General features: G+C 40.4%; 1 protein-coding gene, 1 long non-coding RNA gene and 1 pseudogene across 2 annotated transcripts in view, besides 3 other annotated features; 2 read left to right on the top strand and 1 right to left on the bottom strand.

The window, feature by feature from the left end:
* Positions 1 to 3,186, bottom strand: part of NOPCHAP1 (NOP protein chaperone 1) — a 31,310-nt gene extending 28,124 nt beyond the window's left edge. The window contains exons 1-2 of the mRNA NM_152318.3: positions 3,035 to 3,186; positions 1,249 to 1,335 (exon numbers count right to left, since the gene is read on the bottom strand). Of these exons, the coding sequence (NP_689531.2) occupies positions 1,249 to 1,335; positions 3,035 to 3,149 (202 nt within the window). The 5' untranslated portion in view covers positions 3,150 to 3,186. The remainder of the gene's footprint in view (positions 1 to 1,248; positions 1,336 to 3,034) is intronic.
* Positions 2,509 to 3,019: an enhancer, noted in NCBI's record as "H3K27ac hESC enhancer chr12:105380261-105380771 (GRCh37/hg19 assembly coordinates)". NCBI's record gives its function as "activates a minimal SCP1, AML or CMV promoter by ChIP-STARR-seq in naive H9 embryonic stem cells {active_cell/tissue: H9 hESC(naive)}" and the evidence as "EXISTENCE:reporter gene assay evidence [ECO:0000049][PMID:30033119]".
* Positions 2,707 to 2,956: a silencer, noted in NCBI's record as "silent region_4801". NCBI's record gives its function as "represses an Ori minimal core promoter by ATAC-STARR-seq in GM12878 lymphoblastoid cells {active_cell/tissue: GM12878}" and the evidence as "EXISTENCE:reporter gene assay evidence [ECO:0000049][PMID:35858748]".
* Positions 3,020 to 3,532: an enhancer, noted in NCBI's record as "H3K27ac hESC enhancer chr12:105379748-105380260 (GRCh37/hg19 assembly coordinates)". NCBI's record gives its function as "activates a minimal SCP1, AML or CMV promoter by ChIP-STARR-seq in naive and primed H9 embryonic stem cells {active_cell/tissue: H9 hESC(naive and primed)}" and the evidence as "EXISTENCE:reporter gene assay evidence [ECO:0000049][PMID:30033119]".
* Positions 3,132 to 5,306, top strand: LOC105369952 (uncharacterized). The gene is made up of 2 exons (XR_007063436.1): positions 3,132 to 3,199; positions 5,079 to 5,306. It is a non-coding gene; the product is annotated as an uncharacterized LOC105369952 (long non-coding RNA).
* KRT18P20 (keratin 18 pseudogene 20) lies at positions 11,425 to 12,812 on the top strand (annotated as a pseudogene).

Here is an 18,248-nt window from a genome sequence, read left to right as displayed (position 1 = left end):
CAGTAGACACTGGCGTCAGAAACAATGCCACTGAAAAGAAAGTGTAGTGATGTCTTTAAAGTACTGGAGAAAACAGAAAAAGCAAAAAACCACACTGTCAACCTAGAATTCTAAATCCATTAAAGCATCTTCCAAAAACTGAAAGCAAAATACTTTCTCAGACACACAAAGGCTGGTAAGTCTATCTCCAGCAGAGCTGCACTATCAAGAATGATGTTTACAATAAGAAACCTGATTTTTTAAATGTGTTTAAGATTTGAATAGGCACTTCACCAAAGACATACAAATAGTGACACATGAAAAGATGCTCAACATTATTAGCCATTAGAAACAAATTAAGATCACAACGCGATACCACTATATCCACACTAGAACAGCTAAAATTAAAAAGGCCATACCACATTTTGGTTAGGATGTGCAGCAACTAAACTCTCATACCTTGCTGGTGGAAATGCAAAATAGCAATTTCTTCTTCGTAAAAAAAAAAAAAAAATTACACCTTCTATATACCCGCAATTCCACTCCTAGGTATGTAATCCCTCAAAACAAAAACCTATATCCACAAAAACTGGTTTTTGGATGGGCAGCCACCATATGGTCATTTCAGCTATTGTAGATTTAGTGCTACAGTAATGATGCTACAGTTAAATTCTCCTTTCAGAGTACTCATGATTTCTTAGTTTATTGATGTGATACCTTCATTACCTTCATGCTTATTTACATTGTTTTTATTGAATTTTTGCCTTTTTTTAATATTAAGAGTGAATTACATAGAGGGCATTCGTGTAATAAAGTCTGAGTGTGGGACATACTTATGAATGTGCAGTACAGCAATACTACAGAATAATAAAGAGAACTGGCCATTATGCTGTATTCTAAGTAATATTTATCATTTAAATAATTGTGTCCAATTCAATGGGATGTGGTTGTGGTTTTCCATCCATATATATTAAGTTTGAGGCTCAGTAACCTCTAAATAAATTTGCCATGGAGATTAACAATTGTTTTTGACTTCCCAAAATTCAACCCACAAGCAATTTTTCACGAAAAAGTTACCCTCTTAAAGTAGAGAAATAATGTAAGAAGTTCCATTCTGTGTACTGACTTTATCATGTAAATCCCAAGTAGGACTTGTTCCACTGGACTATCTGTGGTTTGATACCTGACAATGAAGGCAGAGACCGTCCCACAGCTTAATCAGACAAAACTCAGCATTAGAGAGGGTGAGAGAGGGGAAGAGGTACTTACAGGGACTCCTCTCTATCCGAACTGTTTGAAGAGTGGAGGTCTTTCTGGACTTAGGTTGGGAGTTGATGAGCAACCTGTCCCATATACCTGAAAATACAGACACACAAACACCCTTAATTTACTACAGCATAAAAAAACAAAGGCCCATCAGTAAGCCTCTCACATGACCAGTCTTAAGACTTGACTGTCCACACTCCCCCAAAATTTTTTTTTTAAAGGAGAACTCCAAGCTCCATTACAACATTTTAATTCTTTATGTACAGCCAGCCACCTCTCCTTTCTTACATCTGTCTCATTCACCTCTATCACCAATGGCAGGTAATAAATGCACACCAATCTGCACTTTTCTGGATCAGAAATTCATTAGCAGACAAACGTGGGTCTGCAATGACAGAACGGAGGAAACAGTACAGAGCATAACAATGGTTAAGTGAAGCCAGAAATGGTTACTAGTTGTGTAACACTGGGCAACTTACCTGATCTTCAAGCATTTGTTTCTTCATTAGTAAAACATGCTTGCCTGGTATTTCCCCTTCCCTGAAGACGTTCAACCCAAGGAAAGCAGCCTTTTGGGGATTTTGTCACCCACTCTACCTTTCCAGCCTCATTTCTCACTACTCAAATCATCCCAACTCTCTATCCCATCAGAGTTCCAAGAGGGGAACGTACAAAACTCAAGGCTTTGCACACCCTATTTCTAATACCCGGAAAATCCCTTAACTCTCTGGTTAAAAAACAAATCCTGTTCACCTGCAAAGCAGAGCCGCAACAAACATCCATTGAATGCCTACTACTTAAGGCCTACTGGATTCGTGATCAGAGCACAGAGTCTGGAGCCAGACTACTTGAATTCAAGTCCCAGTTTTGCTACTTTCTAGCCACATGATCTCCAGAAGGTAAATTACCTGTATGATAAATCATGTCTCAGGTTCCTCAACTATAAAACAGAGATAACAGATTTTCTGCAAAGGGTTGTTGTGAGGATTAGATGAGTTAGTTTCTGGGGCATACATAGTAAGGACTACATAAGCTTTGGTTATCATTATTATACTTCCTTCGGAATCTCTGGGTTCTCACAAAACCTTTTCTTCAAGCTAGTATTTACTGACAACATGCCCAAGCCTTTTTAGGCATTCTCCTCCTCACAAAAATTCTACAGGCATTACTACTATCACCATTTTCCAAATGCAAAAACTGAGGCTTAGGGAATGAAAATAACTCTAAGTCCCACCAGTTAATTACTAGTGGAGCTGGGATTCGAACTCGTGCTTTTAAATTCTACCTATAGTGTCTGAAATGCTGTGTGGATTTCCTGGATGCATGTCTCCCTCTACAAGACAGCAGCACTAAGGGGTGGTCTGTGTGGGTGTGAAAGAGGTAGGGACTGTTAGCATAATATTACTCCGCTTCCCCCTATCAGCCAACTGCTCCGACCCAGGCAGCCAAACCAAAAGCCCTCCCTTCCCCAAAAGAACTCGAGAGCTTCCCAGCTTCCAGGGCAGGGCAGATGCCTGGCAGCGGCGCCTGGCAGGGTGGGCGCTCACTACCTTGCAGAATATAAGAACCACTAGCTGGGGAAACCATTCCGGGCCCGCAGCCGGGTGCCCGCCCCAAAGCCCCCACCCCTGCCGCGGGCAGGGCACGCCGGAGCCCCGCAGCAGTCCCCGGGGCTCCCCTCGAGGGTACGGAGCCCGGGCAGGGAGCCACCGGCCGGCTCCCAAACTGCACCGGCCGCGCCTCCTCTGCCGCACGTGTGCGGCCCATGCCGCCGTCACCCGTCCGTCACCTCCGCGGCCGTCGCTTCCCGCCGTCAGCAGCTCCTTGGACACTGGGACTCCTGAGGAATCCCGGGTGGGCGACGAACAACTCGGGCTAGCCTTGGGCTTGCCATGGACCTCCATGCTTCCCTCAAGCCTGCACTCTCAGGCCCGGATGCAGGAAAAAGGCTCGGGTAAGGGGGCGGGGAGAGGGCCGCGATTGGAGGAAACTGCGGTGGGCGGAGTAAGGAGCGGAGAGAGAGGCGGGGCGAGCGTGGTGCAGCCTGGAGGCTGCGCGGGAGCAGGGGCCATTCCTACTCCTGGGAAAAAGAAAGGTTCAGACACTGTCATAGGAAAAAACAGCGGGCAAGGCTCGATTTCGCCAAATTCGGGCATAAAGAGCATAACATTAGGCTTCCCTCCTCTTTATCCTTTTTTATTAAATTTTTTTTTAATTGGTGAAAAAACACGTAACAAAATCTACCATCTTAACCATTTTTAGTTGTACAATTCAGTGGTGGCAGACCTCTAGATCATTTTCATCTTGCAAAACTGAAACCTTATACCCATTTACCCCTACTCCAGTCCCTTGGTAACCACCATTCTACTTTCTTCTTTGTTTCTTTCTTTTTGAAACAGCCTTGCTCTGTCGCCCAGGCTGGTGCCTCAGCCTCCCAAGTAGCTAAGATTACAGGTGCACACTACCACGCCCGGCTAATTTTTGTATTTTTGTATAGAGACGGGTTTTCACCATGTTGGCCGGGCTGATCTTGATTTCCTGACCTCGGGAGATCCACCCACCTTGGCCTCCCAAAGTGCTGGGATTACAGGCGTGAGCCATCATGCCCAGCTACCATCGTTCTACTTTCTGTTACTATGAGCTTGACTACTTCAGATACATTATGTAGGTGGAATCATACAGTACTTGCCTTTTTGTTACTAATTTCACTTAAAATAATACCCTCAAGGTTTAGACATGTTGTAGCACATAACAGGATTCTCTTCTTTTTTAAGCCTGAATAATATGCCATTGTATGTATATACCACATTTTCTTACCATTGATCTCTCAACAGGCGTGCTGGTTGCTTCCACCTCGTGGTCATTGTGAACGCTGCTGCAATGAACATGGTGGTACAAATATCTCTTAGAGACCCTGCTTTTCAATGCTTTGGGATACATACCCAGACATGGGATTACTGGATAATAGGGTAATTCTACTTTTTAGGTTTTTGTGAAGCCTCCGTATAGTTTTTCATAGTGGCTGCACCATTTTACATTCCCACAGTGCACAAGAGTTCCAATTTCTCCACATCCTTGTCAATATTTCCTTTTTCTGTTTGGTTGCTTCTTTCTTTTTGACAGTGAGCATCCCAGTGAGTGTGAAGTGATATCTTGAAGTTTTGGTTTGCATTTCTCTAATGATTTAGTGATGCTGAACACCTTTTCATGGGCTTGTTGGCCATTTATATATCTTCTTTGGAGAAATGACTATTCAACTCCTTTACCCATTTTTTAATCTGGTTATTTGTGTTTTTGTTGTTGAGTTGTAGGAGTTATTTATATATTCTGGATATTAACCCTTTATCGGATATATGATTTACAAATATTTTCTCCCATTCTGTAGGTTGCCTTTTCACTCTATTGCTTCCTTTCCTGTTTGTTCTTTTAACAGTCTTTATTGACCACCTGCAGTATGCCCAGACCCCTCTTATATAGGATTCAAAGCAGAAGCAGCAGAAACCTTGGACCAATCTTTTCTGCTTATTTCTGACAGTGCAGAGGCTCCAGAATCAGCCTGGAGTGGATTAAATCCAGTGTCATATTATTCATTTAGTAGCTGTGACTTTGGGCAGATCACTCCCTGAGCGTCTGTCCTTCTCTGCAGAATCAGGATAATAATACTTCATGGGGATGTTATAAGGAATAAAAGAGGAAAAGGAGTAAAATGTATGTAATGGCACTGGTGATACAGAATTATTGGGCTCCCAGCTAAACCCCACTCTAAAGCATGGAACTGTGGCCCTAAGTGACAATAGCTGACCCCATTTTTCGCCCAAATGTTGCCTTTTTAGCCTGCCATTCCCATATCCTGCGCCCATAAAAGGACCAGCTGACAGAGCAATATGAATGGCTAAGTGTTGGGGATACAAGAAGAGACTACAGATAGCTGCGGCCAACTTCAGATGGTGCGACTTCAGGGAAAGATCACCTTCTTCCCCCACCATCCCCTTTCCTATTCCCCATTCCACTGAGAGCCACATCCATTGCCCAATAAAATCCTCCACATATACTACCCTTCAGTCCGTTCATGTGACCTGATTCTTTCTGGACAGCAGACAAGAACCCATGAGGGCAGGGGCTGGGACATTGCTCCAGAGCCCACACACAGCCTGCTCTCACCAGAGAGGAGTGACCGGTGAGTTCCAGCATTCGTATTTTCGCTCTGGGTCCTGCACTCACTTGCACGCTCCCTCTTGTGAGGAGTGACAAGCAGCAGGCTAAGTGAAATGAGCCATTCCAGTTCCTGCCCATGAAGGGGGTCAAGGTCGAGGTATAATACCATCTCACTGGTAGCAGCATTATTATGTTCATCATAATAAATTAACACTATATTATACGAAGTTACAAAAGCTAGGCCACAAAGAATTATGACAGAAATAACAGTAGGCACTGAGGAAGAAAACACTGATTAATGGGCCTGGTGCGGTGGCTCATTCCTGGAATCCCAGCACTTTGGGAGGCTGAGGCGGGCGGATCACGAGGTCAGGAGATCAAGACCATACTGGCTAACAGGGTGAAACCCCGTCTCTACTAAAAATACAAAAAATTAGCCGGGCGCGGTGGTGGGCGTCTGTAGTCCCAGCTACTCGGGAGGCTGAGGTAGGAGAATGGCATGAACCCAGGAGGTGGAGCTTGCAGTGAGCCGAGATCACGCCACTGCAGTCCAGCCTGGGCAACAGAGCGAGACTCCATCTCAGAAAAAAAAAAAAAAAAAAAAAAACTGATTAATGCATTTTAAAAGTTATTTCACTATCTTCCTACTTCCAGTTAAAACCTATTAAATCTAGAGATCCTTTGCATTCCCAGCACTGAGCTTGTAATAGGTACACAGTTAATGATTAATCTGTGTTTGATGAATGAAAGAACAAAAAGAAGATGAACAAATGTATAATTGTTAATTAACTGTTTGATTGATTGACCACCTCAACAAACCTGGATTCTAGACACTGGAAATTTCCTCAAATCACTTTTGTGAATGGTTGGTTGAGATCTGAAGTACCCCACAGGTGCAGCGCCATACAAAATGAGTGGGGCATTTGTATTAGCCTGTTCTTGCATTGCTATAAGGAAATAGCCAAGACTGGGAAATGTATAAATAAAAGTGGTTTAATTGGCTCACCATTCTGCAGATTGTACAGGAAACATGATGCTAGCATCTGCTAAGCTTCTTGGTGGGGGCTTCAGGAAACCAACAGTCATGGTAGAAGGCAAAGGGGGAGCAGGCACATCACATGGCCAGAGCAGGAGCAAGGAAGACTGAGCAAGGTGGCCAGGCGTGGTGGCTCACACCTGTAATCCCAGCACTTTGGGAGGCCAAGGTGGGTGGATCACCTGAGTTCAGGAGTTCGAGACCAGCCTGGCCAACATGGTGAAACCCCGTCTCTATGAAAAACACAAAAATTAGCCAGGCATGGTGGCAGGTGCCTGTAATCCCAGCTACTTGGGAGGCTGAAGCAGGAGGATCACTTGAGTCAGGGATGAAGAGGTTGCAGTGAGCCGAGATCATGCCACTGCACTCCAGGCTGGGCAACACAGTGAGACTTCATCTTAAAAAAAAAAAAAAAAAAGAGAGAGAGAGAGTGAGCAAGTTGCCACACTCAGTATCGTGAGGACGGTACGAAACCATTCATGAGAAATCCACCCCCATAACCCAATCACCTCTTACCAGGCCCCACCTCTAATACTGGGGATTACATTTCAACATAAGATTTGGGCAGGGACACACATCCAAACTATGTCAACACTGCTAGTTTGTAAGAATAGCTTAGAAATGAAGACATTCAGATCTTTCCAAGATAGTGTAGAAAATGCACTGGCAGAATTTAGTCTCCCTTCCAGAAAATTATGTTGTTAACCAAAAGAGCAGTTTTGTAAAATATGAAGGTAAATATAAAACATAGTTTCTCTACTTCTAATCTCTTTAAAAGATAATTGAGTGTTTAAAGCAAAAAAATATGTATCGTGGGGTTTATAACAAATATAGAAGCAAAAAGTATGGCAAGAATAGCACAGAAAATGGAGGTGGTAAATGGAAATAAATGTTGTAAGGATCTTATATTTTATGTGAAGTGTTTTTAGTAGGGTTTGAAAATAGATGGTGATAAGTTAAAATTTTATATTGTAAATACTAGAGCAACTACAAAAAAAATTAAAAAGACCGATATCTAATCAGCCAATAGTGAAGATAAAATGGAGCCATAGGCCGGGCGCAGTGGCTCACGCCTGTATACTAGCACTTTGGGAGGCCGAGGTGGGCGGATTATCTGAGCTCAGGAATTCGAGACCAGCCTGGGCAACATGGTGAAACCCTGTTTCTACTAAAAACATAAAAAATTAGCTGGGCCTGGTGGCATGCACCTGTAGTCCCAGCTACTTGGGAGGCTGAGGCAGGAGAATTGCTTGAACCTGGGAGGTGGAGGTTGCAGTGAGCCGAGATCATGCCACTGTACTCCAGCCTGGGCAGCAGAGTGAGACTCCGTTTCCAAAAAAAAAATGGTGCCATAAAATACATTCAATTAATCCAAAAGAAAGCAACATAAAAAATAAAGAGGAACAAAGAACATTTGGGACAAATAGAAAACAATGTCATAGTACAGGTAAGCGATACTCATTTCAGTAATGACATTAGATGTAAATTGGTGTCTTCCTCCATTTGGGCTGCTATAACAAAATGCCATAAACTGGGTAGCTTATAAATAAAAGAAATGTATTTCTCACAGTTCTAGAGGCTGGAAAGTGCAAGACCAAAGTACTAGGAGATTTGGTTTCTGGTGAGGGCTCACACTCTGATTCATAGAGGGCCCCTTCTTGCTGCATTCTCACATGGTAGAAGGGACAAGGCAGCTTTATAAGGGCATCATCTCATTCATAAGGGTTCTACCTTCATGACCTAATCACCTCCTAAAGGTCCCACCTCTTACATCATCATCTTGGTGGTTAGGATTTTAACATATGAACTTTGAGAGGACACAAATATTCAGACCATAGCAATTGTTCTAAGACGTAAAGGCAAAAAAATTGACAGACTAGATAAAACAAAATCCAACTGTAGGCTCTCTGCAAGAAATTTGCTTTAACTGGAAAGATACGGTTAGGTTAAAAGTGAAGTGATTAAAAAAGATAAACTATGCAAATACTAAACAAAAATAAAGCTGAAGTAGCTATGTTGCTATCAGATAAAATAGATTTCAAAACAATATTACCAAGGATAAAAAGGGACTTTTCATAATCATAAAGAGATACATTTGTCATGATGATATAACAATAATTGTGTTTGCACCTAATAACAGAGCTTTATAAAATAAGAAGCAAAAACTAATAGAACTAAAAGGAGAAACAGACAAATATTATATTACTTTTGGAGATTTCAACACTCTCCTCTCAGAAATTGGTATAGAACAAGTAGACATAAAACCAATAAGTATAAAGAAGACTTACTATCAACCAACTTAACCTAATTGACATACAGACCCTGCAACAGCAGAATATACATTGTTTGAACTGTTCACAGCAATCAATGACATAGATCATATGCAAGGCCATAAAACAAGTCAAAAAACATGAAAATAACTGAAATAATACAGAGTCAACTGATCTCAACTAAACTAAGCTAGAAATCAATAACAAAAAGATATTTTGACAACCTCCAAATATTTGGAAATTAAACAATTCAGTTCTAAAATACTCATGAGTCAAATAAAAAATACAAGGGAAGTTATAAAATATTTTGAGCAAAATTAAAATGAAAACACAAAATATCAAAGTTTGTGTGATAAAGCAAAAGCAGTGCAACGAGGAAAATTTATAACATTAAATGCTTATATTTAAAAAGAAAGTCTCAAAAATTTATCTAAGCTTCAGCATTCGCTAGAAAGGAGCAAATTAAATTCAAAGCAAGTAGAAGGAAGAGAATAATAAAGAGCAGAGTAAAATAAGAAATAAACACAATAGAAAAATATATATAAAAAAAGCTGACTATTTGGAAAAAAATCTGTAAATTGATAAACTTGTATCCAGACTAATCAGGAAAAAAAAAAGAGAGGACACAAATTATCAGTAAAAAAAAAAATGAAAGAGGAATATTATTACAAATTTAGCACACATCAAAAGGATAAGAGAATATTCTGAAAAATTTTAGCAATAAGATTTTTAATTTAGATGACATGTATAAATTCTATGCAAGACACAAACTGCCACAACTCATTCAAGAAATATAGGTAACCTGAATAGCCTCATATCTTCTATTAAAAAGTTCATATTTGAAAATCTTCTCATAAAGAAAACATCAGCCACAACACTGATATGTCAAAGGAAACTTTTAGGAAAGAAATAATAGAGGTTCTACATAAACTCATCCAGAGAATAAAAGAAATGATTACACTTCTCAGCTCATTTTATGAGGTGAGCTTGATATTAAAATCAGACAAAGACATTACGGGAAAACTATAGACCAATATTCCTTATCATAGATGCAAAAATTCTTAACAAAATTGTAGTAAGTAAATTTCTTTATGTATAAAAAAGATAATATTTTGTTACCAAGTATAATTATCCAAGAAATGGAAGGTTGTTTTAACTTTAGAAAATCTATCAGTATGATTTATCCTAATAGCAGACTGAGGCGAAAAAAACTATTTCACCATCTCAGTAGAAGCAAAAAAATCTTTTGACAAAATTCAATACCTATTCATGATAAAAAGCTCTTGGCAAACTAGTAGTAGAGGAGAATTTCCATAACCCAGTAAAGGACATCTATGAGAAATCAACAGTTAACATCATAAATATTTTTCCTCTGATTTTGAGAACAAGGCAAAGAGGTTCACTCTCACCACTTCTAATTAGCAATTAACTAGAGGTCTTTACTGCTGCAATAAGGCAAGAAAAAGAATAAAAGGCATAAAGATTGGAAAGAAGGGATTATAACTGTTTTTATTCACAAATGAGATGATCATCTATATAGAAAATCCTAAGTTTTATCAGTTTTATTGATTTTTTCCAAAGATCCAGCTACAAAAAATATTAGAATTAATAGATAAATATGGGAAGGTAGCATGATATGAAGTCAATATGCAAAATCAACCATTTTTCTATATGCTAACAACAAGCAATGGGAAATTAAAATAACTTTATTCACAATATAAACACAAAATATATAGGGATAGAATTATGAAAATATGTGAAAGGTGATTACAGTGAAAACTATAAGAGCTTCGTTAAAGAAATTAAAGAACAGCTAAATAGAGAAGTATACCATGTTAATAGGTCAGAAAACTCATTACTGTTATGATGTCAATTCTCCTCAAATGAATTCATAGGCCCAATGCAGTCTAGTCAAAATCTCAGCAAGCTGTTTTGTAAAAATTGAGAAACTGGATTTAAAATTTATATGAAAACGAAAAGAACTTTCATTTATATGAAAATGAAAAGGGAAAACATTTCTGAAAGAGAAGAATAAAGTTTTAGGACATAACACTGTCTGGTTTGAGAACATATTATAAAGATAACGAGTCAAAACAGAGTGGTATTGGTGTAAAGACAGACTATTAGATTAGTGGAACAGCATAGAAATCCAAGAAATAGGTCCACACATATATAGTTAATTGATTTTCGACATAGGTATCAAGGTAATATAATTGGGAAAAGGTACTCTTTTTAATAAATGGTCTTGGAATAATTGGATCCATATGCAAAATAATGAATCTTGATTCTTACCTCACACCACAAATGTAATTTAAATCTAAATGAATCAGAAAGGCAAACTTGACCTAAAAGTATAAAACTTCTAGAAAAAAAGAGAAAATACTTGTAACCTTCATTTAGGCAGAGCTTTCTTAGATAAAACATGCTATTATCCTTTCAAAATTCATAGGTTGAAATCCAAGGTGATGGTACTAAGAGATGGGGCCTTTAGAGGTGATTAGGTCATGAGGACAGAGCTCTCATGGATGAGATTATTGTCCTTATAAAAGAAGCCCCAGAGAGCAATCTTGCCCCTTCCACCAAGTGAGGATATAGCAAGAAGGGGCCATCTATGAACCTGAGAGCAAGCTCTTCCTCACCAGACACCAAATCTGCCAGTATCTTGATCTTGAACTTCCCAGCTTCCGGAAACGTTAAGAAACAAATTTCTATTTTTTGGTCATCGGCAAAGTCTGAGTCCTGTCCTTTCGCCTGCCTCCCCAGACACCATGAGCTTCACCACTCGCTCCACCTTCTCCACCAACTACCGGTCCCTGGGCTCTGTCCAGACGCCCAGCTATGGCGCCTGGCCAGTCAGCAGTGTGGCCAGCGTCTATGCAGGCAGCAGGGGCTCTCATTCCCGGATCTCTGTGTGCTGCTTCACCAGCTTCCGGGTTGCATGGGGTCCGGGGGCCTGGCCGCGGGGATGGCTGGGGGTCTGGCAGGAATAGGAGGCATCCAGAACGAGAAGGAGACCATGCAAAGCCTGAACGACTGCCTGGCCTCCTACCTGGACAGAGTGAGGAGCCTGGTGACCAAGAACCAGAAGCTGGAGAGCAAAATCCGGGAGCACGTGGAGAAGAAGGGACCCCATGTCAGAGACTGGAGCCATTACTTCAAGATCATCGATGACCTGAGGGCTCAGATCTTTGCAAACACTGTGGACAATGCCTGCATCGTTCTGCAGATCGACAATGTCTGTCTTGCTGCTGATGACTTTAGGGTCAAGTATGAGACAGAGCTGGCCATGGCCCATGACATCCATGGGCTCCGCAAGGTCATTGTTGACACCAATGTCACTCGGCTGCAGCTGGAGACAGAGATTGAGGCTCTCAAGGAGGAGCTGCTCTTCATAAAGAAGAACCACAAAGAGGAAGTAAAAGGCCTACAAGCCCAGATTGCCAGCTCTGGGTTGACCATGGAGGTAGATGCCCTTAAATCTCAGTGCCTCGCCAAGATCATGGCAGACATCTGGGCCCAATATGACGAGCTGGCTCGGAAGAACCAAGAGGAGCTGGACAAATACTGGTCTCAGAAGAATGAGGAAATCGCCAAAGTGGTCACCACGCAGTCCGCCGAGGTTGGAGCTGCTGAGATGACGCTCACAGAGCTGAGATGTACAGTCCAGTCCTTGGAGGTTGACCTGGACTCCATGAGAAGTCTGAAGGCCAGCTTGGAGGACCGCCTGAGGGAGGTGGAGGCCCGCCACACCCTGCAGATGGAGCAGCTCAATGGGATCCTGTTGCACCTGGAGTCAGAGCTGGCACAGACCCTGGCAGAGGGACAGTGCCAGGCCCAGGAGTACGAGGCCCTGCTGAACATCAAGGTCAAGTTGGAGGCTGAGATCGCCACCTACCGCCGCCTGCTGGAAGATGGCGAGGAGTTCAATCTTGGTGATGCCCTGGACAGCAGCAACTCCATGCAAACCATCCAAAAGACCACCACTGCCGGATAGTGGGTGGCAAAGTGCTGTCTGAGACAAAGGACACCAAAGTTCTGAGGCATTAATCCAGCAGAAGCAGGGTACCCTTTGGGGAGCAGGAGGAAAATAAAAAGTTCCGAGGTCAAAAAAAGATGAAATTTCTATTTGTTATAGTCCATCCAGTTTATGTAATTTGTTACAGCAGCCTGAATGGAATAAGACAAGACGTAAAAGTTATAATCATACAAGAAAAATGAATAAATTTTCTCCAAAAAAATTAAAATCTTTTGCTCTTGAAAGATGCTACTCTAAATGAAAAGGTAAGCCAAGACAGGGAGAATATATTTCCCAAACCTACATCTAATGAAATACAGGCATGCACTGCACAGTAACATTTCAGTCAACAGTGGACCATATATTCAAAGGTGTTTTCATATGATTATAACACCATTTTTTACTGTACCTTCTGTATGTTTAGATATGTTTAGATACACAAATACCATTGTGTTACAGTTGCCTGCAGTATTCAGTACAGTAACATGCTGCACATGCTCCTAGGTTTGTAGCCTAGGAGCAATAGGCTACACGGTATAGCCTAGGTGTGTAGTAGGCTATAGCATCTAGGTTTATGCAAGTATGCTCTACGATGTTCACATGATAAAACCAACTAATGGCACAGTTCTCAGAATGTATCCACATTGTTAAATGATGCATGACTGTACTTGTATCTGAAAAATATAAACACTATTACAATTCAATATTAAGAAGGCAAATGATCCAATAAAAGTGGGCAAAAAAGCTCAATAGATACTTCATCAAAGAAGGGATACAAATGTAAAACAAATAGAAAGAGGTGTAACATCATTGGTCATTATAAAAATGCAAATTAAAGCTACAGTGAAAAAACACTACTATTTCTATTAGAATGGCTAAAACTAAAAAGATTAGAAATACCTTGTTGGTTAGGATGTGGGGCAATTCAGTGGTTTTCAGCTGTGAGTCATTTTGCCCCAAAGGACATTTGATAATTCCTGGAGACATTGTTGAGCATCACAATCAGCAGGGAGCTACTGGCATCTAATGCATAGAGGTCAGGGAGCTATACATTCTACAAAGCAAAGGACAGCTTCCAGAACAAAGAATTATCTGGGTCAAAATGTCAATAGTGCAAAGGTTAAGAAACCTTGAATAAACATACGTGTGCACGTGTCTTTATAGCAGCATGATTTATAATCCTTTGGGTATATACCCAGTAATGGGATGGCTGGGTCAAATGGTATTTCTAGTTCTAGATTCCTGAGGAATCACCACACTGTCTTCCACAATGAAAACACTTGGACACAGGAAGGGGAACATCACACACCGGGGCCTGTTGTGGGGTGGGGGGAGGGGGGAGGGATAGCATTAGGGGATATACCTAATGTAAATGATGAGTTCATGGGTGCAGCACACCAACATGGCACATGTATACATATGTAACAAACCTGCACGTTGTGCACATGTACCCTAGAACTTAAAGTATTATATATACATATATATATATATATATATATATATATATATATATATATGGAATCCTTGAAACAACTGGGAACTCTCATACATTGTGGGAGGGAAAATGAAATAGTATAATCATGTGGGAAAATAGGTTAGCAGTTTCTTATAAATGTACGTGTACCCTATGACACAGAAATTCCATTCCTAGGTATTTGTCATATGGCAGACAGTCTCCAGCATAGCCTCCAGGGATCCCATCTCCTGGTATTTATGTCCTTATGTAATCTCCTCCTCTTGAGTATGGACTAAATATAGTGAATTGCTCCTAATGAATAAAATACAGTAAAAGTAATGGGGTGTTACATCTGAAATTAGACTACAAAGAGACTGTGACTTCTGTTTTTCTGCTTTCTGTCACTCTGAGAGAAGCCAACTGACGTGTTGTGAGTTACCCTGTATGAGTTCCACATGGCAAGGAACTGAGATTGGCCTCCAGTCAATACCCAAGGCGGAACTGAGACTTTCAGTTCAATGCCCACAAGGAACTGAATCCTGTCAGTTCCTTGTATGAGTTTCTTGCGTAAGAGAGCTTGGAGGCAGGTCCTTACCTGGCGAAGCCATTTTTCTTTTTCTTTTTTTTTTTTCTCTTGAGACAGAGTCTCACTCTGTCATCCAGGCGGAGTGCAGTGGCATGATTTCGGCTCACTGCAACCTCCCGCCTCCCAGGCTCAAGTGATCCTCCCAGCTCAGCCTCCCCAGTAGTTGGGACTATAGGCACATGCCAACTATGCCTGGCTAATTTTTTAATTTTTTGTAGAAGTGGAGTCTCACATTGCTGCCCAGGCTGGTCTCAAACTCCTGGGCTCAAGCGATCCTCCTGCCTCTGCCTCCCAAAGTGCTGGGACTACAGGTGTGAGCCACCATGCCAAACCTGGTTGAGCCTTTTGATGAAACTACAGTTCTACCAACAGCTTAACTGCAACCTCTTGAAAGACCTTGAACCAGAGTCACCCAGTTACGGTGGTGAGCATTTTACAGCAGAATTGAGGCTAAACAATGGGAATAAGTTTGAAAGAATAATGTTTAATTGGCCGGGCACGGTGGCTCATGCCTGTAATCCCAGCACTTTGGGAGGGCAAGGCGGGTGGATCACCTGAGGTCAGGAGTTCAAGACCAGCCTGGCCAAAATGGTGAAACCCCATCTCTACTAAAAATATAAAAACTAGCCAGGTGTGGTGGTGGGTGCCTGTAATTCCAGATACTTGGGAGGCTGAGGCAGGAGAATTGCTGGAACCCAGGAGACGGAGCTTGCAGTGAGCCGACACGGTGCCACTGCTCAGTGACAGAGTGAGACTCCATCTCAAAAAAAAAAAAGTATTTAATTTTTGTAGGTATTGATACTGTAGATATAATATAAAAATCAAAAATGGGGAGAAGGCTGAAACTATCTGAGAAGAAAAAATATTGCTTTTAAAAAATGAAATAAAAAGTATGTTACATTAGGTGTTCGGGACAAGGGGAGACAGAAAAGAGGAGTTACTAGCTAATTTTAATACCATTGATAGTAGGAAGATAAAAGACAATATCAAAATAAGAGTAGTCTGAATAGTATCATATAAAGTTATTAGAACAAAATACAAATCTTCCTAAATACTAAAATAAACAGAAGCAGAAAAAGGAGAGCAAATAAAACAGACTTCATAGGAAAGACTTCATATGATTTATAAAGACAAAACTGAGATGAAGCATATCAATTGTATTACTACATGCAAATAGGCTTAACTCATTTATAAGAGAAAAAGAATTTTCAGATTGGATAAGTAGTCGAAATTCAATTCTATGCTGGATAGAAATGACTTACCTAGGCTGGGCACGGTGACTCACACCTGTAATCCCAGCACTTTTGGAAGGCAAGGTGGGCGGATCACCTGAGGTCAGGAGCTCAAGACCAGCCTGGCCAAAATGGCGAAACCCCATCTCTACTAAAAATACAAGAAAAAAAAATTGCTGGGCATGGTGGTGTGCGTCAATAATCCCCAGCTACCCAGGAGGCTGAGGCTGTAGAATTGCTTGAATCCAGGAGGCAGAAGTTTCAGTGAGCCCAGATCGCACCATTATACTCCAGTCTGGGTGACAAGAGCAAAACTCTCATCTAAAATAAAAGATAAAATAGTAAAAATAAGAGGATGATTACATATAAACCAGGCATATGCAAGTAAAAACAAAGTGGAGTACAATTTTGTTATTAGACAAGCAAAAATTCAAAAAGAGACAAAAAGACACATTATGATGCTAAATGACACGATCTAAACAAGGAAACCATCATTCATATTCGTGTGCCTAATAACACAGCAACAACCATTAAAAAGCAGAAAGTAAAAGGAATAAAAAGAGACATAAGCAAAAACTCTAATAATTGGAAGTTTAATACCATTTCTCAGAAAAGAATAGACCCAGTTAGACAAAAAAATTAGTATGGATTTAGAGGAGCTAAATAAAATCATTGATAAAGTAGATCTAGTAAATATATATTGAACACTGAACCCTGATAATAGAGATTAAACTTTCTTCTGAAGTCACATGGAGTATTCACAAAATTGAAATATCATAGGCCACAAAGAAAATCTCAATGAATTCCAAAAATACAAATGATATAAGTTATATTCTGTGACCACAATTAAATATAATTTTAAAATAGTGACATTTTTAATAAAAGTCTCTTCTACCTAAAACTGTAAAAACATATTTCTAAGCAATCTTTGAATCGAAAAGAAATAGTAAAAAAAAACTGCAAAAAAAGCTAATTTTACTATTATTATTTTTGAGACAGGGTCTCATTCTGTCTCCAGGGCTGGGGTGCAGTGGCATGATCTTGGCACAATGCTAATAAGAATCTCATCGGGTATTTTTTCCCTTTGAGTGAGAAAATGGATTATAAAGTTTGTATAAAAAGATAAGACAATAGCCATAAGACAGGCTCTGAACAAGAAGAGCAATGCAGGGGGAAGGGAGCTGCTTCTGGTACAGGAAAATGATATGAAAAAAAGATAAACTGTTAAACATTTTAAGATTTTAAAAAGAATATAAATATAAGAAATTTGTTGGTTGATTTGCATGTATGTTACAGTCATTATTATGGGCAAGCTCTAATCATATGAAACTGAACCTGGACCTTATTGCTGATTGGCTGTTACAATGAATTGAATCATCTTAATTTTTAGTAGTGTTATTGGTATGGTTATTTAAAAACTGCTATATAGATATTCTTAGATAAAGCAAATAAGTAATTATACTAATATTTGGATCTCAGATTTTGTTTTGGGTTTTGTTTGCTTTTTGAGATGGGGTCTCACTCTGTTGCCCAGGCTGAAGTGCAGTGGCACGATCTTGGCTCACTGCAACCTCCACTTCCCCAACTCAAGCAATCCTCCCAAGTAGCTGGGATTACAGGCGTGTGCCACCACTCCTAATATTTTTTGTATTTTTGGTAGAGACAGGGTTTCACCATGTTGCCCAGGCTGGTCTTGAACTCCTGAGCTCAAGCAATCCATTCGCCTAGGCCTCCCAAAGTGCTGGCATTACAGACATGAGCCACCGCTCCTTGCCAGATCTCAGATTTTTTGTACAAGAAAAAAAAAATCAGTAACCGACCCACTCCTGTAATCTTAAATTTGAACTGGCAATATGTGTATAAATTCCTGAGTTTCGTTTCGAAAAAAAAATTGAAACTCTTTTCAGGAAATTGAGGGAAATGAGGTAAAATAAGATTGGCATTTAAAAGTTAAAATGTCAAAGTAACAAACTTGAGTCATAGGCCCAAACTAGCTGAGACAAGGGAAGTGGAATTTTCTGAATCAGGTCCCACTCCTGCAGCTGGCCGGAGGACGGGACCAATCCCACCCAGAAGGCAGAGCTGTAGCTTTAGGGGAGGATGCAAGGAAATCAGGGAGGCACCCACAGGTCTACTACAGACAATAATATTTGCAATGTGTAATTCTGGGGATAATTTTGAGGTTTTTCTAAAAGGTTTTCATCTTTCAGCTTCAGTTTTTATCTTCAGGAGACTATCCAAACTGAGTATTTA

Source organism: Homo sapiens, chromosome 12 (assembly GCF_000001405.40).
Source record: "Homo sapiens chromosome 12, GRCh38.p14 Primary Assembly".
Classification (NCBI taxonomy): domain Eukaryota; kingdom Metazoa; phylum Chordata; class Mammalia; order Primates; family Hominidae; genus Homo; species Homo sapiens.
This window is presented reverse-complemented; position numbering and strand designations above follow the sequence as displayed.